Raw genomic sequence first — 27,056 nt, 5'->3', positions numbered from 1 at the left:
ACACAAATCATTTGCATTCTACAGGCCATTACACAAGGAGGTAAATATAAACTCTCTGAAGACAAGGGAGGGTTCTTCTTAGAAATTCATAAGACTGATACTTCTGACAGTGGACTTTATACTTGTACAGTAAAAAATTCAGCTGGATCTGTGTCCTCTAGCTGCAAATTAACAATAAAAGGTAGGTTGGCTTTTGTTTTTACCCACATTTCTTCAGAAGATAATATTAGGGAAATATTTTCAAACATCCCCCCTTATATACACATACAAGAAAGTATTAAAATAAAATTATTTTCCTAATTCCAGAATACAATTTGTACACCAAAGCAGAAACACACATTTGAAGTTAGCATATGCTTTTCTATGAGCATAAAAAGCAGTTATTAAGTACCTAGTTATATGTGGTATTATATAAGATTCCATAGTGTCAGCCCCTGCTCCCAGGAATATTTAAGAATAAAGTCAGTGAATATACAAAATGGCACTACTTGCCTAAACCTTCACAGTTGCTAATTTTCCAAAGCAGTGCAAAGTTAATTAAAGAACTATTTCTATTTTACCAATTAAAATTAGTTTGCTTTCATTTCAATCTTCTGAAAGATAATTTAATGTTTTGGTTACTCAAAATCTCCCAAATCCACTTATCTCCTAAATCCGTTGACTATTCTTTTCAAGACTTTTTTCCTTAAGTCATATGAATCATCTTTGGCTCAGTTTAGTTTAAGGAATCATTACAGTGATCTCAAAAGTCACACATGATAATTTTCCAAAAGTGGAACTGAGAAAGTATTAGGTATTACCTACATTGCATGAAGAAGTTGACTTTTTTTCTTTTTATGTTTTTCACACGCAGAATCTAGAAGAGTAAAAGGTGGGGGTCTCTTTCTAATTAAGTTTGCCTTACAGAGGTTTCTTTTTTAGCTATAAAAGATACTGAGGCACAGAAAGTCTCTACACAAAAGACTTCTGAAATTACACCTCAGAAGAAAGCTGTTGTCCAAGAGGAAATTTCCCAAAAAGCCCTAAGGTCTGAAGAAATTAAGATGTCAGAGGCAAAATCTCAAGAAAAGTTAGCCCTCAAAGAGGAAGCTTCAAAGGTTCTGATTTCTGAAGAAGTCAAGAAATCAGCAGCAACCTCCCTGGAAAAATCCATTGTCCATGAGGAAATCACTAAAACATCACAGGCATCAGAAGAAGTCAGAACTCATGCTGAGATTAAAGCATTTTCTACTCAGATGAGCATAAACGAAGGTCAAAGACTGGTTTTAAAAGCCAACATTGCTGGTGCCACTGATGTGAAATGGGTACTGAATGGCGTAGAGCTTACCAACTCTGAGGAGTACCGATATGGTGTCTCAGGCAGCGATCAGACCCTAACCATCAAGCAAGCCAGTCACAGAGATGAAGGAATCCTCACCTGCATAAGCAAAACCAAGGAAGGAATCGTCAAGTGTCAGTATGATTTGACACTGAGCAAAGAACTCTCAGATGCTCCAGCCTTCATCTCACAGCCTAGATCTCAAAATATTAATGAAGGACAAAATGTTCTCTTTACTTGTGAAATCAGTGGCGAGCCATCCCCTGAAATCGAATGGTTTAAAAACAACCTGCCAGTAAGTTTAATTATGAATATATTATTGAAGAAAAACTAAAATACCATGTCTTCCACATCTGAAGAACTTCAACATTTCTTTTCTTTTTCCTTTGTCTTAGATTTCTATTTCTTCAAATGTCAGCATAAGCCGCTCCAGAAATGTATACTCCCTTGAAATCCGAAATGCATCAGTCAGCGACAGTGGAAAGTACACAATTAAGGCCAAAAATTTCCGTGGCCAGTGTTCAGCTACAGCTTCCTTAATGGTCCTTCGTAAGTATCTCCTCACCCTTCTTCCTTACATGTTTAAGGCCTTTAGATCGTTTTTTTGCCTCTCTTTCAAGCACAGAAAACTCTAAGAAGCCTTATTAAATTCCATGTGAAAGAGGGACAGCCAACTGATGTGAATTCATTCTTGTAGTCAAACTTTCTTTATAGCTACACAGAAACTTGGATAGATTACATTTCAAAGTAAAGCTACCAACTGCCGTGTAACATTTATTTGCAGGATGCACAATATGTCAATTACTTTCTATATGACTAATCATTTTTCTCCTAGTGATTCCTAGCACCTGCATGTAATGTAATGATAGAAATATAAGGATTCATGTTTTGGAGACATTGAGCTAGCTCTTGACAAATGTATGTATATATGTATTTGCTTATGCTTCAACAGCAAATTGTTTGGGTTATGCTGCTGTGTGTGTGTTGAAGTTTCCATTTCTGTAAGTCAGCGTCATATGTCATCAATTAACCAGATGTCATTGATGTTCACTGTGTATCTGCTATGCTCCACAGCTCTAGTTGAAGAACCTTCCAGAGAGGTAGTATTGAGAACAAGTGGTGACACAAGCTTGCAAGGAAGCTTCTCGTCTCAGTCAGTCCAAATGTCTGCCTCCAAGCAGGAGGCCTCCTTCAGCAGTTTCAGCAGCAGCAGTGCTAGCAGCATGACTGAGATGAAATTTGCAAGCATGTCTGCCCAAAGCATGTCCTCCATGCAAGAGTCCTTTGTAGAAATGAGTTCCAGCAGCTTTATGGGAATATCTAATATGACACAACTGGAAAGCTCAACTAGTAAAATGCTTAAAGCAGGCATAAGAGGTGAGCAATAAAATTACTGGTAGAGGTAGACAAGCCAAGTAACATGGTGTAGTCTTTAGTACACACAATTCAGTAGAAAGCAAATCTTTATTTTTTTCAGTGATTCTAAGACCTTTTTTTTGTCATTGTTCCATAAAGGAATTCCGCCTAAAATTGAAGCTCTTCCATCTGATATCAGCATTGATGAAGGCAAAGTTCTAACAGTAGCCTGTGCTTTCACGGGTGAGCCTACCCCAGAAGTAACATGGTCCTGTGGTGGAAGAAAAATCCACAGTCAAGAACAGGGGAGGTTCCACATTGAAAACACAGATGACCTGACAACCCTGATCATCATGGACGTACAGAAACAAGATGGTGGACTTTATACCCTGAGTTTAGGGAATGAATTTGGATCTGACTCTGCCACTGTGAATATACATATTCGATCCATTTAAGAGGGCCTGTGCCCTTATACTCTACACTCATTCTTAACTTTTCGCAAACGTTTCACACGGACTAATCTTTCTGAACTGTAAATATTTAAAGAAAAAAAAGTAGTTTTGTATCAACCTAAATGAGTCAAAGTTCAAAAATATTCATTTCAATCTTTTCATAATTGTTGACCTAAGAATATAATACATTTGCTAGTGACATGTACATACTGTATATAGCCGGATTAACGGTTATAAAGTTTTGTACCATTTATTTTATGACATTTTACAATGTAAGTTTTGAAACTAACTGTTGGTAGGAGAAAGTTTCTTATGGAACGAATACCCTGCTCAACATTTAATCAATCTTTGTGCCTCAACATACTGTTGATGTCTAAGTATGCCTCAGTGGGTTGAGAAAATCCCCATTGAAGATGTCCTGTCCACCTAAAAGAGAATGATGCTGTGCATATCACTTGATATGTGCACCAATACCTACTGAATCAGAAATGTAAGGCATTGGTGATGTTTGCATTTACCCTCCTGTAAGCAACACTTTAACGTCTTACATTTTCTCTGATGATGTCACACAAAATTATCATGACAAATATTACCAGAGCAAAGTGTAACGGCCAACACTTTGTTCGCTCATTTTACGCTGTCTCTGACATAAGGAGTGCCTGAATAGCTTGGAAAAGTAACATCTCCTGGCCATCCCTTCATTTAACCAAGCTATTCAAGTATTCCTATGCCAGAGCAGTGCCAACTCTTGGAGGTCCCAGAGTGCAGCCAATGCCTTTGTGTGGTAGTTCTAAATTTTAATTGCACCTGAAAAACCTGGGCACCTAAGCAATGAGCCACAGCAAAAAGTAAAGAACAACAACAAAATAAAGCTGTTGTTAAATTTTAAACAATATTACTAATTGCCCAAAATGTCAATTTGATGTAGTTCTTTTCATGCAAGTATAAATTCAATTGTTAGTTATAATTGTTGGACCTCCTTGAGATAGTAACAACAAAATAAAGCAAGCTATCTGCACCTCAAAATGTGTGGCTGGTTGTTTTCTGTGAAATTCTGGGGTGGGGAAGTATGCATCTTCGTGTATCACAAAAACGATCATAGATAGATAAGGCAACTCAAGTTCAAAACAGCCCATGCTGATCTAATTAAACTAAAGAGCTTCTGCACAGCAAAAGAAACTACCATCAGAATGAACAGGCAACCCACAGAATGGGAGAAAATTTTTGCAATCTACTCATCTGACAAAGGGCTAATATCCAGAATCTACAATGAACTCAAACAAACGTGTAAGAAAAAAACAACCCCATCAACAAGTGGGCAAAGGATACAAACAGACACTTCTCAAAAAAAGACATTTATGCAGCCAAAATACACAAGAAAAAATGCTCATCATCACTGGCCATCAGAGAAATGCAAATCAAAACCACAATGAGATACCATCTCACACCAGTTAGAATGGCAATCATTAAAAAGTCAGGAAACAACAGGTGCTGGAGAAGATGTGGAGAAATAGGAACACTTTTACACTGTTGGTGGGACTGTAAACTAGTTCAACCATTGTGGAAGTCAGTGTGGAGATTCCTCAAGGATCTAGAACTAGAAATACCATTTGACCCAGCCATCCCATTACTGGGTATATACCCAAAGGACTATAAATCATGCTGCTATAAACACACATGCACACGTATGTTTATTGCAGCTCTATTCACAATAGCAAAGACTTGGAACCAACCCAAATGTCCAACAATGATAGACTGGATTAAGAAAGTGTGGCACATGTACACCATGGAATACTATGCAGCCATAAAAAATGATGAGTTCATGTCCTTTGTAAGGACATGGATGAAATTGGAAATCATCATTCGCAGTAAACTATCGCAAGAACAAAAAACCAAACACCGCATATTCTCACTCATAGGTGGGAACTGAACAATGAGAACACATGGACACAGGAAGGGGAACATCACACTCTGGGGACTGTTGTGGGGTTGGGGGAGGCGGGAGGGATAGCATTAGGAGATATACCTAATGCTAAATGACGAGTTAATGGGTGCAGCACACCAGCATGGCACATGTATACATATGTAACTAACTTGCACATTGTGCACATGTACCCTAAAACTTAAAGTATAATAATAATAAAATAAAAAATAAAAAAAAACAGCCCATGCTAATAAGTTCTTTTAAGCAAATGTTTAAATTATCGTTAGATGTATTCAGCAATTTTGTTTAAAAAGCCTAGATATAGTTCTCATGGATATATTTATCCCCAAAAGTTTATCTTCTAAATATATCAAGAAAAATATTTTTAGGAGAGCTGATTCAACTCGGAATCAGCTGTGATTCAATATCTTTGATGGATTTTGAACATCTACAATTCACAATCTTTTGTGCTAAACACCACAGGGAACAATACAAAGATGATTAACACGGTATAGATACTGTCCCTCAAAGAGCATAGTGAACGGAAAAGGACAACTTCAGGGAAAATGATCAGTTGTGAATCTGAGTCCATATTGGCTACTGCAGCTCCAAATTGAGACAGAACAAATAAAGGACCTCAGAACTAAAGAACTATTTTATTCCCAAGTCTAGATCAGTTGTTTTAAAAGCATGGTAGAATGACAGTATATGGAAGACTGACACTATTTTAAATAGTGTCATTCTACTATGCTTTTTAAACAACTGATCTAGACTTGGTAATAAAATAATGCCAAAAATATCTGTATTTGTCCACTTCAATTTGTTAATCATAATTATAAGCCTATGATGTTATTTGCCTAAATTCACCTCCTTAATGTAGGTACAGGTGACCAAAGCTGAAGCAAATGTACTGTCAGTTTTCATTCTCCAGAGAAAAATCCTGGGTCTTCATTAATTTATTCAGCAAGTTTTCCGTCTTAAGTCAGATTCCCTAAAAGCAGAGCCTGAGACGGGGATTCTTGTCTCAGAAATTCTTTGAGGGATTATTACTCTCAGGGAAAAAGGGAATGGGGCAGCCAGCAGATAGGGCAGAGGAAGCAAGCTGAGCACGAATGTGGTCTCAGCAGAAGCCTCAGCCAGATCTCACAGGGAGCTTCAATCGTACCACAGAGTTGGTTCCATCTAGGAGCAAGGGGGCTGACATTTTGTACCCCCTTACCAACCAGTCAATGGCTACAGGCTATAAGCTGAGGGGCTGAGGAGGGATGGAAGAGGGAAATAAACCTTCCCAAGTGAAGAGGGGTGCCTGTTGGCCAGGACAATTCTCCGTGGACTAACGCAGCCAAACAGTGAACAATCGAGAAATCGATGGAAGAATACACATTTCCTGGGCATCTAAGTGATGCCAACAGAACCCACTACATCATCTTACAATGTTAAATGCCTATTCTTACCTTAAAATGAGAGGCAGGACTGGCTAGGTGATGCCTAAGGATGATTCCCAGCCTTGACATGCTGGTATTCTCACATATCCTATCCGTGGCTGATATAGTCTGTGCGGATGAAAATTCCAAAACCGAAGACAGGATTTCGCACTTGCTAAAGTTGGAGCTCCCAGGCGCTGAGATCCAATTTGGGCCTGGGAGAGTGGGGAGGGAGAGCAATCTGCCCAGTGAAGGAGAGCTGCGCTAAAGGCAAGGTTTTACTTCTTTTTATCCCTTAGCGAAAAGCCCACTGCCTCTGAAAGTAGCACGGTGTGGCCACACGGACACATGGGGGAAGTCAGTCAGAGGCGCTCCAACAGAACGGCCAGAAGCCCCTTTCCTGGCTTACCAGGCAGCCTCCTTCCCCTAACTCCTCCAGAAACAGCGCTCCTCTGAAGACGCGGGGGGAGGGTCTTCCGGCCCCACACCCCACCTTCCGCAACGCCAGGAGTGGTTCCTCAGCATTATGGCGTCATTTCCGAGTCAGACCCGCTCTTCTCTCCCCATGTCAACAGAGGGCGACAGGGAGCACCAAGCCGAGGCGTGCTTTTTGGTTCCAATCTACGCCCTCCACAAAACCCATGAGCAAGCTTCACTGTCATCCTGCCCCTTTTTTTTATTCACGTCTATTTTATAAACCCCACACCCTGGCTACATGATCAGCCGAATCATGTTGCAATTACATGTCTGCATTCAAAACCCTGAGGGCCCCGCTCAAATCTAGGAACTGCTGTTTACTAACTTACTTCACCTGGGGCAGGTTACCCAACTTCTCCATTCTTTGACATTCTCGTCCATAAAATGAGAATAACAGCAGCAACCTCACAGTATTATTGTGACGATTAGACAAGTTACTACTTGTAAAACTCAGAACAGCGCTTAGCAGAGCACCCAATAAATACCAGCAATCATTATTCTGTTAGGGACCACAGTACAGAATATTGAAGCTAGGGACTAGAGAAGCAGCACTTTAGAGGGGACCTAGCCTAGGTCTCACTGGTACTCATTAGATGTACGGCAGGCCACCTTTATTCTTGGGCAACCTGTCCCAAGATCCCCCAGTGGAATCCTGAAACTGTGGATAGTACTGAATCCTACAAATACTATGATTTTTCCTTTTTTTTTTTTTTTTTTTTTTTTGAGACGGAGTCTCACTCGTCACCCAGGCTGGAGTGCAGTGGCGCAATCTCGGCTCACTGCAAGCTCCGCCTCCCGGGTTCACGCCATTCTCTGGCCTCAGCCTCCCAAGTAGCTGGGACTACAGGCGCCTGCCACCACGCCAGGCTAATTTTTTGTTTTTAGTAGAGACAGAGTTTCACCTTGTTAGCCAGGATGGTCTGGATCTCCTGACCTCGTGATCTGCCCACCTCGGCCTCCCAAAGTGTTGGGATTACAGGCGTGAGCCACCACGCCTGGCCATGATTTTTCTTATACGTACATGCTGATACGGTTTGGCTGTGTCCTCACTCAAATCTCATCTTGAATTGTAGCTCGCATAATTTCCACCTTGTGAGAGGGACCTGGTAGGAGATAATTGAATCATGGGAGCCGTTTCCCCCATACTGTTATCATGGTAGTGAATAAGTCTTACAAGATCTGACGGTTTTATAAGGGGAAACCCCTTTTGTTTGGTTCTCATTTCTCTCTTCCCTGACACCACGTAAGATGTGACTTGCTCCTCCTTGCCTTCGCCATGATTGTGAGGCCTTCCCAGCCACGTGGAACTGTGAGTCAATTAAACCTCTTTTCTTTATAAATGACACAGTCTCAGGTATGTCTTTATCAGCAGCGTGAAAATGGACTAATACGCATACCTATGAAAAAGTTTAATTTATAAATTAGGCAAATTAGGCACAGTAAGAGATTAACAACAATAATAGAATATAACAATGTACTATAATAAAAGTTTTATGAATGTGATCTCTCTGTCTCTATATATCTTATTGTACTGTACTATGGGTAACAGAAACAGCAGAAAGTGAAACCACAGATCAGAGGGGACTAGTGTATTCATTTTCTAGCACTGCTGGAACAAAGTACCATAAATCGAGTGGCAGACACAACAGAAATGTATTGTCTCGCAGCTCTGGAGGTTGGAAGTCCAAAATCAGGGTGTTGGCAGGGTTGGTTCCTTCTGAGAACTCTGAGGGAAGAATCTCTCCTAAGCCTCTCTCCTTTTCTGTAGATGGCTATTTTCATGTTCACACGACATTTTTCCTGCATGTCTGTGTCCAAATTTCTCCATTTTAGGATACCAGTCATACTACTGAGGCTCATCCTAGTTACTCCACTTCAACTTAATTACCTCTATAAAGCCTATCACCAAATAAGTTCGCATCCTGAGGTACTTGAGGTTATGAGTCCAACATCTCTTAGGGAGGGACATAATCCAACCTGTCACCCTAGATGTGGCGGACATGGAACAGCACCTCTTTATAGTAAGTGTTCTGAGGGAATTTCTGAAAAGACAGATTTTTTCTCTATCCAATAGTAGCTGATTATGTAGATGAACCATAGAGGTTGTTAAACCAGAAACGATGAACCATAGAGGTTGTTAAACCAGAAACAGCCCATAAAATAACAGGTTAAATTGATATCTCCATGGTGACTGATTCAAGAAGATTGTTTTATGATCGTGCTCCAGAAAGAAAAAGTAATTTTCAGTTTTGTTTACTCTGCCCCAAACGTAATTTTGAGAAATTCAGGTAGAGAAAGTCATTTCCTTGTAATAGGAGAAAATAGTGACTGCTACTTAAGTAGGACTTTTGAAAATAGACTGGCCCATGGGTTTTTATTCTAAGGTTATAAAATATGAAAACTTGCCTTTATGCATTTTGGTACCTCTGGGTCAATGTTTCCCAAACTCTGCTCTTCAAGATGTTGTGGAAAAACTGTTCCACAGCCTAATAAACTTAGAATTTGGGTAATTTTTCTTCTCTATACAGGATTTCTCAGTCTTTTATGAGCTATGAATTATGTTTCCAGGAGGTGACACAGTGTTCCCCAAATTTATTTGAAGACAGAATTTGCTTTTCATTGGTGCTATGCATAATGCAGGTTGAGACAGGCTATATGAGGTGGAAACACTGAAGATGTGGAAAGGAATAGATCTTGGTTGAAGAGGCAACTGAATATCCTCTAAGAAATGAAGTTAAGTGCTATGATCAAAGAAATCTGGAGTGTTTGGGAGCACATTGCTGAGGCATCTTATCCAGTCAGAGAAAGGGGCAAACAGGCAAAAGCTGCAACCTAAAATATGGGATAAGAAGGGGCAGGCCTCACTTTCCAGGCAGAGGACCTTTGCACCTGCAGAGACCTAGGGGCAAAGGATGGCACAATACATCCAAAAAAGTTTAAAGAAAATTTTTTTTAAATTTAGTAGAAAAAAGATTATAGTGGAACAACCTTTGAAGGGCTGGGTGCAAGAGGCAAGGCCACCTTGCAGAAGGCCTCATATACCATATAATAGAGTTTGGGCTTTTCCCTAAGAGGTAAGGGAATCACTAAAGAGATTTAAGTCAACTAGAGACTTGATAAAATTTTATTTTTACCAAGTCTTTAGCTGTTCTGAGAAAGCTATGACATTTGTTTGCTTTCTACATCAAAGAGCTTATTTCCGCCTATAGAATTCCACTCACAGGAAGACTTCACCTACCACCAAATTTCTAACCCATGATGTCCCTTTTAATTATAGCCCTGGGAGGTTATAGGCAATCGTGGAAAGGTCTTTCCTAAGATTTTCATGGGACTTGGGGGTGCATGTCAATGAAGCCAATCTGTTAGACTTCCCAGGCATAGGAAAAGTGGCAGCAAGGGATGGATATAGGAGGACACCTTACTGCCCAAAACCTTTTAAGTGACAAAGGCCACTGCTATGGCATTGGCAGTGAAGAGGTAGAAGAGTCCTGCCCAGCAAACCAAGTTCCGCTGAGGATGCCGTGTCAAGAATACAGCCGATGGAGATGATACCCATTCACTCCTGCTCTATTTTAAGAAGAGATGGAAAGCAGGTAAGAGGAATGGGCAGCTATGCCAATGCTTCTCAATCTTGTAAGAATTCTCTGCAAAAGATAGTGTGGCCTAAAGGTCGGGATTCCAAACATGAAACTCATGCTTATCCTGAGATTGTTAGTGATCCACAAGGTTCCCTGAGACTGTGTCTATGTATATTTTTTAGGTTTCATTTACAAAGATGCCAGTGGCTTTAAAAGTTTAAGAAATGCTGTCCTACATGTGTCTACGAGGCAGCAGACTAGATAGATAGGATTTGTGAAAATAGATTGGCCCGTGGGTTTTTATTTGAAATTATAAAAAGTGAGAGTTTGGTTTTGTGCTTTTTGGTATCTCTGGGTCAGTATTTCCCCAACTCTGTTCCTTGGGATGTCTAAGCCACCTGAGAAATACCTACACATAGTTCCCCCTAAAAAGAGGCAGTGATGAACTCCATTTTTGAAACCCTACAAAGGCTCGATGCTCAGAATTTCCTTTCCTTCTGCATCCAGGAGAGGCTGCTGCCAATGAACCTTGTGGTTCCTGAACCAGCAGAGCCTCAAGGATGAATACTTCTTGCTATATGCAATAGATACGAATTCCCTGAGTTATAGAAGTCTCCAGCGATGTTGAGGGGCCTCTGTCAGACACCGGTCTCAGCCTTATGAAGGGATGTAGCACATGAATGAATGCAGCTTTTTGTTGTCAGCTGCCACTTCTGAGACCACCATAATCAACTTTTAGCTTTTGGTCAGATGAGGGACACAGGTATTCCTCGTTCTCCAACTTGCCAAGAAATTCGGCCCACATGCATAAGGCAGGCCAGCTGTTTCCCCTTCACTTCCATATCCCTGCCACAACCCAAAGAAGCCAAAGAGAAGGGACACCACCAGGCCCATGAGGCCAAGACCAGGTGGGAGGCTGAGATGCTCTGTCCTAAAAACCTAAAGGACCACTAAGGGGAAGAGAATGAGACCCCAGAAAGAAAGCTCAAAATGGAGAATATTGAGATCCAGGTCTTTGAATAACATGCCCAGAGTCACATGGTTAGCAACAGAGCTGGAACTAGAGGCCAGGTCTCTGTTTATCAGTGTTGTCTTTCCACCCCTTCAAAACACCAAGAACCAAACCTGCTGGAGGGTGAGCAGGCAAGAGAGTGCTTGATTAGGGAGAAGAGGGCTCTTTTCCACTTTGAGAATCATTGTAGTTCCAGGGCAGGGTCAACAGCAAAATGCCATCAGGTTGCTTCCTGTAAAAAAAGTCCTTCATTTCTAGTGTAGGGAATTCCTCTTCTCAGAAAGCTCAGGCCAGAGATGCTGAACCCTTAACTGGCATCTGAAATATAGTCAGGAAATAGGGTGCTTACCTGACCCAGCGTGTCACGTGAAGGGACAGCAATGGGAGAGCTTCCCAGAAACTACACTACTGGACCCTATAGTATTCACACAAAAGAATCGTTCAATCATTGCAGGAAGAAAGCATCCTAGCAAAATAATCTGCCTATTTCTTGGTAGGGGTTGAGACAGAGGGAAGCAGACTGAGAGTTCTTGAAATATTTAAGATACGGGATTGTAGCCACTATAAGAAAGGTTTCTGAGTGCAGGGCATTGTATAGAAATTATTCCAGAGAACTTGGAGGATTTGGCTTTATTAATTGCAGTTTGACACTGGGATGAGTACATTTCTTACTTAAAGGGAAGTAGCTTTCTCTTCCAGAGAATTCTCAAAGGCATGTATAAAGCAGTATCCTTGCAAGTACTGTACTTCTTATTTTTCCTTAACACACAGGGTAGTTGAGAGAAGAGACTGAAAGAGCACTGCCTTCAGCCCAGTGACCATTCTTTGAGCTGTTTTCTCTTTCCCCATCTGAGGGAAGAGTGGAGTTTTGTGGTGATGGCAGTCGTCTCCTTCACATCTGCTCCAGATCAGAAACTCACCACAGCTATTAATCTGCTGATGTGAGCACATAGTACTAGCTTCATTTTCCAACCCCACATAAAAATGTCAAAACTTTAGTCAGAAAACCAGAGAGAAGCAAAAGGCAGGGTGTATGGAGATCTACATTTACCCTAATATCACCTCCAGTAGTGCTTCTCAAACTTTAAAGTGTGTAGCAATCACCGAAGGAACTTTTGAAAACGCAGAATCTAGTTCAGCAGATCTGGGATGGGGATGCTGAGATTCTGCATTTCTAACAACCCCCAAGGGAACCTCGGCCCATGCTAATAAGGACCTATTTGGCCTTTCTGACTGCTAGACGATGGCCACAAACTTTAGTGAGACAGATATATAAAAGAGATAGATCTATATCTATCTATATACACATAGAAACACACATCCCCCACCTCTTCTAAAATGCAACAATCAGAATTGAGAATTTCCATCCAGCTCAATGGTTTGCAAAGCTGGCTACCCATTGGAATCACTGAAAAACTTTCAAAAAATACTGATGATTGGGTCTCACCTTGCCCCCAGAGGTGTTGCTATAATTGGTCTGCGTCAACCTACCCATGAACCTAGGAAATTTAAATGCACCCTGCGGGGCGGGAGTTCTTTTTTTTTTTTTGAGACAGGGTCTCACTCTGTTGCCCAGGCCGGAGTGCAGTGGTGCAATTACAGTTCACTGCACCCTCAACCTCACGGGCTCAAGCAATCCCCACATCTCAGCCTCCCGAGTAGCTGGAACTACAGGCAAGCAACACCACGTCCACGTCCAGCTCTTTTTTTTTTTTTTTTTTTTTTTTGGAGACATGAGGTTTCACTATGTTGCCCAGGCTGGTTTTGAACTCCTGAGCTCAAGCAATCCGCCCAACTCTGCCTCCCAAAGTGCTGGGATTACAGATGTGAATCACTGTGCCTGGCTGCACCCTGGGGGTTTGTAATGTGCAGCCAAGATGGAGAACTCCTGATCTAAACAAATAAGGTGATGCACTGTATGCTTTCGTTTAAAGGTTAGCTATCATCACTACTATCTTTTCTCACATCACAGCACTAATCTTAAAATAGCCAACCAGCTTTTAAATTTAAATGTGCAGCAAACCAGTCACGTTTTTAAAAAGCAAAGTGTTACGCTTCCTCAAACTTTCAAAACATGCTGTATTTAAGTTTTTCTCAGTGGCATGGCAAATTTATTAAACATTTTCCCCCACACTGTTCACATCACTCAGGTTTTATTGAATTTATAAAATTACTACAATATTTTCGACAAGCAGAATTTTTATGACAAAAATATAGAGTATACACCTTTTGGAATTTGGAAAAGAAAAAAATACTCACAAAATAAGTATACATATATTTTTAAATGAAGTTTATTTTCCCCTGGGAATAGAAATTCTATTCTGAAACTTTTTCAAAATTAAAGTGTTTAGTTATAGCAATCAAAATCTGTATTTGCTATTAGGTTTCTAAGTTAATTTAGAGACTAGCTTTTTAAACCAATTCCATTATTTCCAATTTCTTAACTTCTAAACTTACAAATTTTTCACTTAAATACCCATAACTACTTTTGCAAGAATCATTTTATGTATATATATGTATGTATATATATATATGTATGTGTATATACACATATATAAGCTATATATACATCTTATAACTAGCTACAATAAAGACATTTAAAAGGCCAAAAAAATTCATGTGCTTATGTTTCTAACAATATTTAAACACGCAAAGAAAAGACTATTTTAACAGCAATTATGCTACTTTCTAATGCTTGCTTATTTATGTTTAGGTTAAAACAATAGTTAGGGTGCAAATGTGAATGATAAATACTATTCAACTAGTTAACTGAAAAAAAGTGAAAATTTTGGAAAGCCAATTATAATTAAGATAGTCATTGTATCTAAGATATTAAATAATAAAGCAGTGAGTTTTAAATTCACTCAAGAATTAGAAAGCAAAAAAATTACAAAAAAATAATTAGAAAGCAAAGATAAATACTAGCAACATAACACTTAGTGAGTGGTCAATGAATATTAACTGAAGAAATTTTTTAAAAGAGGTAAATAAATGTATAAACAATCCTAAATTAAATGGTTAACAGACCCCCTGAACTCACCGCCATTCCCAAGTGATTATTTTCTTTTCTGAAATAATATACCTAATATAGAAATAGTAAGAAGGCCATTTTGGGGAACTCTATAATCATCTATCAAAACTGGAGAAAAAGATAAAGTGAATAAAATTTTAAAAAGGTAGACAGAATGAGAAAAGTTCATATGTCTTTTTTTGGCTAATTATAGACAACATTGGAAAGCTCTTAGAAATTTACTAACATTCAACCATGATTTCCATAAGAGCTCTTCAGGACAGGTAGAAAGGAAATGTTGAGAAACTACACAGAATTCTGAAAACCAGAGGGCAAGAAAACTCACACAGTGAGTCTTTCGTTTTCTCTAGAGTAAGACACTAATGGACTTGAACTATTAAAAACATCATCTAAGACTATATCCACTGCCGTCACACTCCCCCAAAAGAAAAAAAAAAAAATACCTGCAGGAGTCAAATCCCCAAAAGTGGCAAATGCCAACATACAGTAGAGGAAGCCATATGCTACAAAAAAAAAAAAAAAAAAAGAGAGAGAATGTTATAAGACCAAAAATTGGTAAGTCATCGGTATATAGCTTCCTCACTCAAGTCACCTTCAAGGACCCTGCGTGAACATGGCCTGATTCACAAAAGCAGGAAAGAAAAGTTGCAATCTGTGCCTTTTCCCCTCAAAGGTCATGGCCTAGATTAACCAAATATGGCAAGGAGAATGGAGGGCAACTCATCCCTGTAAGGAGGTTTGCCACTAAAGCAAAACCACAAATGAATTCAAACTCTTCTCTCCAGTGATGACTAAGGGTGATCAAAACACAAAAAGTGACTAAGGTAAAGCACTGATATGCTATTGAATTTCACTTACCTAAACTAGTACTTCTTAGAGAAAAAAAAAAAAAGAATATTGGCACTTTTTTTTTCCTGAGCACCATGTGACAAGGGTCTTTGAATTCATGAAGGCACTATTAATAAGTGAAGGATATACACATTACTTATACATACATATGCACTTAGCCTAAATAAAGACATGACAGGCTATGTTTGTTCCCATTTTAAAGTATATGTATGAACTTAAGAGTTCATCCTAGTTGGATAGTGAAAACAGAAAACAGGGAATCAATTTTAAGTTGTTCAACTTTGCTTATTGTGAGTAAAGATATATATAATCTAGCAAAGTTATGCAAAGTTAGAATATACCCATTGCCCTATATTCTCGATGATAGTTACCCCTGCCACCATTCCCCACACCCTCTTAGTAAGCCCATGCAGACATCATTAATCAAGTAGGTAGGTCATTCTCCGCTAATCCTAGCTGAAAAATCAAAGTCTTAAAATTAGCCACAACATCAGAGATGACACAGGAGTTAAAAAAAAAAAAAAAGGCAGTTTGCTATCCATGGTCATGATGGTAAACCACAGTAAGTGTGCGTACTTATTGCTACACACTTTTCTCTAGCCAACAACTGCAAAACAAGAAAAAAAAATCAATAATAAGCTAAATGAGAGCTGTGTTCTAAAGCCTCCCCAAGATGAGGCACCATTGCAAGAGGCTATGGACAATCACCCGAGGATGCCAATTCTGAAGGCATGCTGAATCACTTGGATAACCCAGCAACCCCTAGCGACCACAAATACCACTGGAATAGGGCATAAACAGAAATGTTCTAATACTGAAAAGATATTCATTTTATGCTCATTTACCATATAAATTTGTCAAATGAAGACTTTTAATTACATGGACATGTATATATTATCTGACAAAAATCTGGGTGGTTAACCCTTACTATCTGTAGGCCATACTTTTGATTGTTGTCAAACAAAAAAAAAAACCCACAACTCTCTATTTTGACCAAGTAGTGGTAACTTCTACAGCAAATTTGTCTCATCTTCTATAGATAAACTTTTAAAATCAATTGGAAAACTAAAATGATTCCAAGTTGCATTGTCCACAACTAAGAAACTGTGCATACAGATGCATGCACAGATAGAGACACAGGCACACACACTGTCACACTCACGCATACACAATTAAAGAAAACCACTGGAAACTCTAGGACTGTCTTTTGAAAGAAAATGGCCTCGTTCTAGCTATCCAGAAAAAAGCAATCCACAGTTCCTTGCATAGAGGAATTAAAAAGAAAATGCCTGTCCAGCCAACAATAATAGGGGTCAGAATTGTTCAACTGTCACACACAAAAAAATACTCAAGTAAAGGTCATAAAGCCAGCTCCTTCTTTAGTACCAGATGCATCATAAAAATGTGCCACTGGGGCCAGGATCCTGACACTGGGAGGCCAAGGCAGGCAGATCACAAGGTCAGGCATTCGAGACCAGCCTGACCAACACGGTAAAACCCCGTCTCTACCAAAAATACAAAAATTAGCCAGGCATGGTGGTGCTCGCCTGTAATTCCAGCTACTTGGGAGGCTGAGGCAGGAGAATCGCTTGAACCTGGAAAGCAAAGGTTGCAGTGAGCCGAGATCGCGCCATTGCACTCCAGCCTGGGCGACAGGGTGAGACTCTGTCTCAAAAAAAAAAAAGTGCCACTGTTTATTTAACCACCCTGCTATGGATGAGCTAATCCAAACTATTGCAATGTACATCTATTTAAAAGTCAATACACAGGAAAAAGGTCTGGAAGAATATATACTAGAAAAGAATGGTTACCTCTAGGGGATGGAGTGTCAAGGTGAATTTTGGTTTATTCATACTGTCTAAATGATTGCTTAATAACTCAGGTATTGCTTTCAAAAAGTAAGAGGAAGGGTGGGAAATACCCTGTTCTCTCAGAATTTTAAGTCCAGAGTGCTGGGAGAAAAAGATGGCAGCACTGAGCGGGACTGAAAAGTTTTCCTAGAACATCTCCTTTCATTACATGACTCACCATTGTTCACTCATAAAATGCTTCACCGCATCCAAAAGGAGTTCTGCCTACTAATACCAGAAAAGGTTGAGAAAGAAGAGTGTGGTTATAGCTCCTGATGGCTGATTCTATTCTCTCTCCTTTGTTCCTAATTGTCCCCATGCTGCCAGATCTGGCAATATACTTTATATTGAGATTTAAGTGAGTAAAAGTCTTTGTGCCAAACTTGCAAAAGCACAGAGATTATCAACAGCACCCTCCTCCCACCTTGCCAGAGTAAAAGTGAAGAAGGAATTCATTATAGTCATACATTTTACTCATCTTTAATATTCTGAATATATTACCCATGGAAACAACCCTTCATTTATGTCAAAAAAAATTGCTTAATGCATTAATATCCCTTTACATTAATTTATTTGGTTTATCTACAGTAACTAAGCAAAACTGAATCCACCCTGTCATATATTCTAGGTTTTGTGGATACATTCTGAATTATTTATTTATTCAACAACTAATGCTAGTCCAAAAAAATCAAGAAGCATGTGAATTTAAATACTAAATAAAGGGATAACTTAAAGGCTTAATGTTTCAGGATACAATAAGATATTCATCATTCTAATCAGTCTCATGAGTTAATCCTGGTGCTGTGCATCTTGGCTGCACTGGTAGTCCTGTACTTCCGCATCTCTGTTATAAGGCTAACATGAGGTAAAGCACCTGGCCCACAGTAAATGCTCTAAATGTTTTATTACCAAAGAGACCAACAAAAAACTTTTTGGGGAAGAGGAACATATTATGGGACAGAAAGGGCAAATTCTATCCTATGAAAATATACTAGATTAGTTACTGTATTTGGAGAAGAGGCAGCATAAGGACGCCAAAGATGGAGAGGTCAGGTCAGGCACGGTGGCTCCCGCCTGTAATCCCAGCACTTTCAGAGGCTGAGGCAGGCGGATCTCCTGAGCTTAGGAGTTTGAGACCACCCTGGCCAACATGTATTTGGAGAAGAGGCAGCATAAGGACGCCAAAGATGGAGAGGTCAGGTCGGGCACGGTGGCTCCCGCCTGTAATCCCAGCACTTTCAAAGGCTGAGGCAGGCGGATCTCCTGAGCTTAGGAGTTTGAGACCACCCTGGCCAACATGGTGAAAAATTTTTGTAAAAATACAAAACATCAGCTGGGCATGGTGGTGCGTGCCTACAGTCCCAGCTATTTGGGATGTTGAGTCACGAGAATTGCTTGAGCCCCGGAGGTGGAGGTTGCAGTGAGCCAAGATCGTGTCACTGCACTCTAACTTGGGCTACAGAGTGAGACTCTGTCTCAAAAAAAAAAAAAAAAAATTAGAGATCAAAGTTCCAGAGATGGATATCAAAGCAGATAATAAGGGGACCCAATAAAGACAATAACAGTCACATCCAGGGAAAGAAGAAAATGCCAGCATCAAGCTAATAGCAGGCACTGTTTTCTTTAGCCACTTTTACTTTATTTACAGCCATTTGCCACGCCCATGGGACTCTACTTTAATGAAAGATAATACAAATGTCCTTACAAATAAAAATCTCCCTCCTTCGAGTATGCGGCTCTGTAGCCGTAGAAAGAGTAGTATGGTTACCTACTCCCACTTCCCCTCTAGAAGAGAATCTCATTATCATACCTCTCTGAATCCAGACACAAAAAAGATACTTAAAATATCTGAAAGAGATTTAAAAACCTAAACTCAGAGTAGCTTCTACCTAGAACACAATTATTTTGTTTTAAAACATTAACTTATAAAAAAAATCTGAAGCAGACCATTAAAAAAATTGAACATAGTATTTAAATTAAATGTTCCCCAAAACACTTTGATTAGAAAATAGATTAAAATTTTACCTATGAAATAAATGCAGGCATTTTGCTTATGTAAGTCCACAACATTTTCTGAAAGGTGTACAACTATTTACAAGAGGTTATGGATACAGTGATGGGAATTTACCATAAAGAATGAAAATTTATTTTTTCACAGTTTTGGAGGCTGAGAAATCCAAGATAAGGCACTGGCATGTTAGGGCTCAGTCTCTCGCTTCCAACACTATGTAGAGCACTACGTCCTTTGGAAGGGAGAGACATTTGGCAGAAGAGCAGGAGAGTGTTCACCCACGCCCACAAGCCCTTTACACGGCGGCATTAATCTATTCATGAGGGTGGTACCCACATGACCTAAACACCTCCTGGTAGGCCCCACCTCCCAACACTGTTGCACTGGGAATGAAGGGAATCTACTATTTCTGTACTCCATGTATTAAGAGTATTACATCTACTGGCGGTAGGTAAGGCATAACAAACATCATCTGCATTATCTTATCTCCTATACTTCATATTTATATGATAAAAACAAAATATAATACCAATAAAGCTTAAAAGCACATCAAAATTGTTATACTCTTTTTAAAACTTTTAAAGTAACTATAACTGATTGGATTTCTTAAGGCTTGAATGTTTCTTAGAAAGATAACACCTAACACCTGAACATTTCATATGAAGTCTAGTTAAATGCAGGGTCGGCTGGGCACGGTGGCTCACATCTGTAATCCCGACACTTTGGGAGGCCAAGGCAGGTAGATGACCTGAGGTCAGGAGTTCAAGACCAGCCTGACTAATATGATGAAACCCCATCTCTATTAAAAATACAAAAATTAGCTGGGCATGGTGGCGAGCACCTGTAGTCCTAGCCTGTAGCCTAGGAGGCTGAGACAAGAGAATTGCTTGAACCCAGGAAGTGGAAGTTGCAGTGAGCCAAGATCGCGCCACTGCACTCCGGCCTGGGCGACAGAGACTGTCCAAAAAAAATGTAGGGTCAACATTATCAAACACTAGATTTTCCCATATATTAGTAATTCTTCCTATGGTGAAACATTTTCACTCAAGAATAAACAGGTTACTGAATTGAGAGAGATAGGAGAGTGCAGTGTGGCTCATGCCTGTAATCCGAGAATTTTGGAAAGTCAAGGCAGGCAGATCCCTTGAGCCCAGGAGTTTGAGATCAGTCTGAACAGCATGGCAAAACCCTGCTGCTACAAAAAAATACAAAAATTAGCCAGGAGTAGTGGTGCATGCCTGTAGTCCTAGTTATTCGGGAGGCTGAGGTAAAAGGATCATTTGAGCCTGGGAGGTCGAGACTGCAGTGAGCTGAGATCACTCCACTATACTCAAGACTGGGTGAAAGAGTGAGACCCTGTCTCAGAAAAAAAAAAAAAAACTGATAGTAGTAATAATAATAATGATAGTAAACAATATTAATAACTAACACTTATTCAACACACTACGTGCCCAGCACTTTTCTAACTGCTTTTTATGAATTGATTCTTCTAATCCTCACAACCCTATGAGGTAGGTAGTACAGTAAAACCATATGAATTAAAAATCACTAGAATGAATTACAAATTAATACTAAAGAATTTTTATTTTTTATACACTATTAGAATTTAAATCTAGACTTTCAGTGAAACATACAAACCAACCACATGAATTTATTTCCTCTACCTCCAAACCACCAAAAGATATTAAAGGAATATAAATAGTATTAATCCACAAAAAAGCACAGACGACAAAGCCATGAGATTTTAACAAAGTTTATACAGATAAAAACCAGGAGGAAGTGCAATACCTAACCTAGCAGAGTGGAGGAAGTTAAAGCCTAAGTACCCAAAAGGGAGAAGCCCAAAAACACACCCCACCAAACCTCTACTAAGTTCAGGACTTGGAAGCACTAGGTATTGTAGAAGATGAGAGTGAGGTATAGGGCTGAAATCAGGACTAGAAGTCTGTATAAAGAGCAACTGGAACCCAGGTCCTCTCCCCTACTCTCCACAGCCAGCCTACGCCCCACCCTCAACCTCCACTGACAGGAAAAACTGAACCTGAGGGTCAGCAGCCAGAGGAGGATTTGGGGGGTGGGGCCGGATGGGCATGAGAGAGGATGAAGATAGAGGGATTAAGTAAAAGTCATCATACAAATCTTGGGGTCCTCAGCTGTCTTTTCTTACCCTACTATCAGGACCCAGTTTTCTAGAGAAACTGGCCCCAAAGAGAAGACCTCCACTGAAATTTAGGGGACCTCAACAGAAAAGGCCAACTCTACCTGATGGCCCTTTAGACAACTTATAAACCCTGCCCACATATAAAGACCTATGACATTAGCTTTTTAATACATGACTAATATGAATAGATGATTTCTAAGAAAGGCTTCAGAATGAAAGAGCCCAAAACAAATAAATAGAAAGCAGAAACATGGTGGGGGAGGGGGAGAACCATTCAAGAAACAGGAAAGATGTAAGAAAAAAATCTTAATTTTATCCTCAGGGAGATATGGGGAAACAGTTAATCTATAAAATAAAAATAGGTTTTTATGAAATGAAACAGAAAAAAAAGACCTCTTAGAAATTAAAATATATATATAAAGAAAATTCAACAGAAGAGCTGGAGGATAACAAAAAGAACAAAGATAATATAACTTAAGGAACAACTAGAGAGAAAAAGCTTTTTAAATTTAGAGGCGGTCCAACTCTGGGAGGTCCAACATTCAAATAACAGAAATTCTAGAAAGATAGAACAAAGAAAATGGAAGAGAGAAAACTGTCAAAAAGATCACACACACACACACACACACACACACACACACACACACCCAGAACTGAAGCAGACAAATCTCTAAATTGAAAGATTCCACCAAGTCAAGTAGCCATCAAGATGAATGAATAAAGACCCACATATTATTATGAAACATCAGAAGTAATGAGAAGTTCCTAAAAGCTTACAGAGTGTAAAAACAGATCCCAGGTAAAGGAACGGTATCAGAATTCTCACAGAAAAACTAAATGCCTTAAGACAATGAAATGTTGCCCTTAAAATTCTGAAGGCATGTTATTTTCCAGACTCCAAACTACCAATCAAGAGTAGAGACATTTTCAGACCTGTAAAGCCTTAAAATCTTTACTTTCTATGCACCTTTTCTTAGGAAGTTACTGGTGGAGGAGCTTTGCCAAAAAAAAAAAAAAAAAAAAAAAAAAAAAAAAAAAACCTAATGTGAGACTAAAAACTAAAGGGAGTTTCAGAATGACTGCTGAACCATAGAACAGGCCTGGAGGGCAACAGTACAAATGGCAGAAGATGAAGGACTGTGGAAGAAATGTCCCTAAAGGATGACAAAATATTTTTAAAAACTTTTTTAAGAGAATTGATACGATTATCTGATGTTTTTCAGCATTTAAGCCTTTGGATAGTCATTGTGACAGGTACATTAAAAACTAAGCAAATTTGAAAATCAGGCAATACCAACCCCAGAAAAAATAACATTCTAGTAAAAAGGAAATAATGATAGTTAACCATGTGGTACATCAGTGAACTACATTTATGTCTATCTATTTCACAAAAAGTTTGTTCTAACTAAAAGTTGTGTGAATATAAATCTATTTTGGGAGGGGTGGGGGAAGAAAAATGTGGGAGGTGGAGAGTTTAAGTAAAGTAAATCCTGTCTACCATAAAAGGTATTCGAGAAACTGTTTCTGAAATTGATAAGTCAACAAAAAGTAGTATAACATTTTCAAACAGGAAGGTAAATACTAACACAAACCACTAAGAGTTCCAAGTGTTTGTCTTTGGAATGCTAAACTGGGGAAGAGGGAACTACACTTTTTCACTATAAACCTTTTAGTTCTATTTGATTTTTTCAAACTATGTACATTAACTAGTTTAATAAAAAGAAAGCTAAAATTAAAAAAAAAACAACAGAATTTCAAGTTAAGAATTCAACATGAATTCAAAGAGTGGATTGGGGAGACAGAAAGACATGAACAAGAAGGCCTACCTACCAGCTACCTACCATTCATTTACCCGCCAGGGTTATTAAAAGACAGACCTCCTCAAAGGAACTCCTGCAGCCTAATCTGGCTTTCTTTCAGGCCAGGACACTCCCTCTGTACCAAGTACCCAGATCAAGGCTCAAAGTACAGACCTAGAGGTGCCTTATTAAATAAAAGAACTAGCAGAGTCCAAATTAGTGGTATTATCATGTATATGGAATTAGTGTAAACAGCAATCTGGTATTAACATATCACAAGGGCGCATTTCCTGAGATCTTGTGATTTTTACATTTCTAAATGTGATAATACATACTGAAAAACTACAATTCAAGGTCAAAGGTTCTAGGGCATCTGTGGAAATGAAGATACTCTATCTTCTGCCTTGGAATTTAAGTTTAAGCAATAGCATCCATTTCTGGATTTTTCCTGACTGAAGATCATGCAATAATCCCATATGATGTAAGAAAATTCAAATTCAGCTCATTTATAAAAGAATTGTATCAAAATCCCTTTAGTCATGGAGGCCTGCGATTCCCAAAGAATAGTGAGCAAGCACTTGAAATGAAAAACAAGCACTGCTTTTGCTTAGAAGATCACTGATAGGCTGCCAAGAGAACCTCCAAATTTCTCAATAACTTTTCATGTTTCTCAATAACCCCATGACCTAGACAAAGCAAAAAAAAGGGACTACTAATAACTAATAATAACCAATAATTTTTCTATAAAGTATAGAACAACTTGACAAGCTAAAATTCTTACAGAATTGTTATATGGTTCATCTTTTTCTTAAAATTCAAAAAAGTCAGGCACACTTGAAAATAAAGGACTCCTCAAAATGCAAGGTTCCCTTAAGCTTTATAGGTTTCTTCATGCTACTAATTCACTGATCAAAACCTGGATATAATTCAAGATATATTTATACTCCCACAAAAAAAATGATTTCACAGATGTGTTTGGTTCCTAACAATAACAACAAAAAGTGGCTCCAAGTCATAACAAAAGACATACTTAGGGATACCGCAAACCTGTTCAAGGACCTGTTTTAAGGGGGAAAAAATGATACAAACCAGAAATAATTGCATTGTATTTTTAAAATATTCACAGAAAACTCTTCACGAACCCATCTATTTGGGTAAAGCAATAGAAAATGGATGTGATTATTTTCTATAAGTTCAAAAGCTTGTTACGGTGTTTTCCTTATAAACCTATTACTGCAAAAAAACTCACTACCAGAAAAAACTCCCAATCAATAGCACCCTGACCTTCATGGTCTTAATACTGTGCAAGTTCTTACTACAAAATTTAAAAAAAAAAAAAAAACAAGAAAAACCTGATTACCTGCTCAACGTCATAACTTACTACATTATCAAACTTTTTTTTTCAAATTAGACATATGAAGTACAACTTATGAGCAGGCAAAGACTCCACTGAATATAGAGTAGTCTGATGACCTGTGTGTTATTTAAAATTACAAACACTTCAAGTAGCATACAGTTTACCCAAACACATATTAATGTATAGACTGTTTATGTCCATCTTAAACTTAAGATGGAAGGCCTATAATTACAGTTTTTTAAACAAATACCAAATATTAATTATTTTAAAATATCCCACATAAACTTACAAGATAAATTGAAATAAAATGAAATAGGTCACACCATTCTAAGCTCACAGGCAACAAAAATTATGCTTCATTTGTGTCTTCACCAGCAGGCCTAAATATACAAACAAACTCAAATCCATTAGAATTATATTAGTGCCTAATAAAGATTAGACAGAATATCAATGAATGTAAAAAATACAATGTATTATATGATGTGTTTGAATGCAAAAACCACGCATTTATTAAACATATGATTAACTTAAAAACAACACACCAGTTTGTTTTAAAGTGCTCCTTATCCAAAACCTTAAACAAAACTATCAGCCCAAAATGAATTCAAAAAAACAGATTACAAGGCAAACAATGACAATAGGTATGGACAGGCACTACCAAAAAATGCTATTTGTTCTTTAATTAAATAATGCCATTCTCAAGTGATATAGAGCAGTCATCTTGACAGAATTCCTTTTTGTATAAATATTCATAAATAAAAATGTCTCTAGATATTGGAAAGAGCTGCAAACAATACTTTACAACAGCAGCTTAATATCTATTTTAGGAAAAAAAAAGCACTAAAATTCTCTTCCATTGAAAGTTGTTTATTTCTCTAGTGTAAGTGAGCAAAGTCACTACAGCATTAAAATCTCTTTTCTAGAACAACGTAAAGAACAACGTATACACATCTTAAATTTGGTAGGTCACAAAAGTTAGAATGCAATCATCTTTTGAGGCAACAAGAAAATAAATACATAAAAATTAAACACTTTAACCCAAAATTTGGTATTGACAAATCAGTAGTGTCAACTTCACATATGAAGGACAATACAGTCTGGTTATTTAAAGATGCTCAATATGTCATGGTATTTGGGCTAAAGATACTTAGAATATTGTGTTTCCTTTTTGATTAAAGGAATACAATACAATCACCATCAAGCTGCTATCGTAACTCATTTTTAGCTGTGGTAAAGTGACCATTTGGTCCATGGCACAAGTTACATATATCACACTTCTGTCAAACTGAAACCTTATAAGATTTCATGTTTATAAGCTACAATACACCCTGACCATGCTGTCAGTCCCCTCAGAGTTTTTAAGAAAAATATCTACATTTGTCCTTATGGATGTCAAAATGTTACACCATCATTTGTTCAAAAAAAAAAGATGCACATTCATACTGTGAAGTTATTAGGAAAATACTCTTGCAAACAAACTATATAAAGATAAAATACACTTCAAAAGTATGTGGTTTGTTTTCTTGTTTGTCTGTTTTACAACATTCTATAAAGTGCAGAGTCCTAAGGGAAAAAACTACTCCCTATAACAATAGTTTAATTACAGCAGCTTTTGCATAGCAATACTTAGAGGAAGTTGGACACTTCAGTTTCTTCAGGAAGAGAAGGATGGAAGAGTATCTTCTGATTCAGATTGTTTTTTGGCCATAAGTCTGCTTTCTTCAGGAATGGTTGCTGATGCCAAATCTCCATTAAGTGTATTTTTTGAACAGTGAACAGGTCCTATGAAGACATTGATAAAAACGTTAAACATCCTGTCAATATTAACTCCAGTCCTCTGTGAAAGAACATTTTAAATTTCCTGTTCAGGGACATGAAATTCCTTTAGCTTCTGGCTAATTTTGTATTTCCTTGTTTGTTTCATGCAGGAAAACTTAACTTTTAGACTAGAGTATCAACAGCCACAAGGAGAAACATCAGAATTCATAAGATAAATGATGAAATTGCCTGAAGTAGAGATTTTTGTTTTGTTCACTGCTAGAATCATGGTTGGCACATAATAGGTAGTCAATAAATATTTGCTGAATTGAATTTAATCTTTATTAATTAACTATTGCTTTTTCAGCCTATTTTAATGCTGTTAATATCCTCCTTGTTCCTAGGCAAAGAAACCAAGACCCATAAAAGGATACATGCCTTACCCAAGATCACACAATTGGTAACAGAACGAGGACTAAATTCAGGTATTCCTCTTTTCATTCTAAGACTTTCTGAGCAAAGCTGACAAGGTACCTCATACTGAAAGATCCCATTTCTCCATTTGTAATGCAGCTCACAGAACTATCACTGCAACTCCATGTTAACACAGCTGACTACACTGGCATAGTCCTGTTCTAAGGCAGTTGTACCTTTATATATATAGTTTGAGTTTACCATCATCATTTATTACTTTCATAC

General features: G+C 38.4%; 2 protein-coding genes and 1 long non-coding RNA gene across 25 annotated transcripts in view, besides 3 other annotated features; 1 reads left to right on the top strand and 2 right to left on the bottom strand.

Moving 5' to 3' along the window:
* Nucleotides 1-4,152, top strand: part of TTN (titin) — a 281,435-nt gene extending 277,283 nt beyond the window's left edge. For all 21 annotated transcript variants that reach the window (NM_003319.4, NM_133437.4, NM_133432.3 and 18 more), the window contains 5 exons: nt 25-181; nt 922-1,613; nt 1,714-1,867; nt 2,393-2,695; nt 2,834-4,152. In NM_003319.4, coding sequence (NP_003310.4) covers nt 25-181; nt 922-1,613; nt 1,714-1,867; nt 2,393-2,695; nt 2,834-3,129 — 1,602 coding nt within the window. In that variant the 3' untranslated portion in view covers nt 3,130-4,152. The remainder of the gene's footprint in view (nt 1-24; nt 182-921; nt 1,614-1,713; nt 1,868-2,392; nt 2,696-2,833) is intronic.
* TTN-AS1 (TTN antisense RNA 1) overlaps nt 1-7,314 on the bottom strand; it is a 97,391-nt gene extending 90,077 nt beyond the window's left edge. The window contains exons 1-2 of one of the 2 annotated variants that reach the window (NR_038272.1): nt 7,281-7,314; nt 6,505-6,689 (exon numbers count right to left, since the gene is read on the bottom strand). This is a non-coding gene — a long non-coding RNA (TTN antisense RNA 1). Of the gene's footprint in view, nt 1-6,504; nt 6,951-7,280 lie in introns of those variants that run through there. The other variant, NR_038271.1, reaches the window with a different exon arrangement.
* Nucleotides 6,749-7,261: an enhancer, noted in NCBI's record as "H3K27ac hESC enhancer chr2:179387607-179388119 (GRCh37/hg19 assembly coordinates)". NCBI's record gives its function as "activates a minimal SCP1, AML or CMV promoter by ChIP-STARR-seq in naive H9 embryonic stem cells {active_cell/tissue: H9 hESC(naive)}" and the evidence as "EXISTENCE:reporter gene assay evidence [ECO:0000049][PMID:30033119]".
* Nucleotides 6,923-7,072: an enhancer, noted in NCBI's record as "active region_16806". NCBI's record gives its function as "activates an Ori minimal core promoter by ATAC-STARR-seq in GM12878 lymphoblastoid cells {active_cell/tissue: GM12878}" and the evidence as "EXISTENCE:reporter gene assay evidence [ECO:0000049][PMID:35858748]".
* Nucleotides 13,678-27,056, bottom strand: part of PLEKHA3 (pleckstrin homology domain containing A3) — a 36,007-nt gene continuing 22,628 nt past the window's right edge. For both annotated transcript variants that reach the window (NM_019091.4, XM_047445577.1), the window contains exon 8: nt 13,678-26,381. In NM_019091.4, the coding sequence (NP_061964.3) occupies nt 26,254-26,381 (128 nt within the window). In that variant the 3' untranslated portion in view covers nt 13,678-26,253. The remainder of the gene's footprint in view (nt 26,382-27,056) is intronic.
* Nucleotides 15,204-15,273: a silencer, noted in NCBI's record as "silent region_12151". NCBI's record gives its function as "represses an Ori minimal core promoter by ATAC-STARR-seq in GM12878 lymphoblastoid cells {active_cell/tissue: GM12878}" and the evidence as "EXISTENCE:reporter gene assay evidence [ECO:0000049][PMID:35858748]".

The sequence above is a fragment of the Homo sapiens genome, chromosome 2 (assembly GCF_000001405.40).
Source record: "Homo sapiens chromosome 2, GRCh38.p14 Primary Assembly".
NCBI lineage: Eukaryota > Metazoa > Chordata > Mammalia > Primates > Hominidae > Homo > Homo sapiens.
The sequence above is the reverse complement of the archived record's forward strand: the minus strand, read 5'-3'. Positions and strand labels throughout refer to the sequence as shown.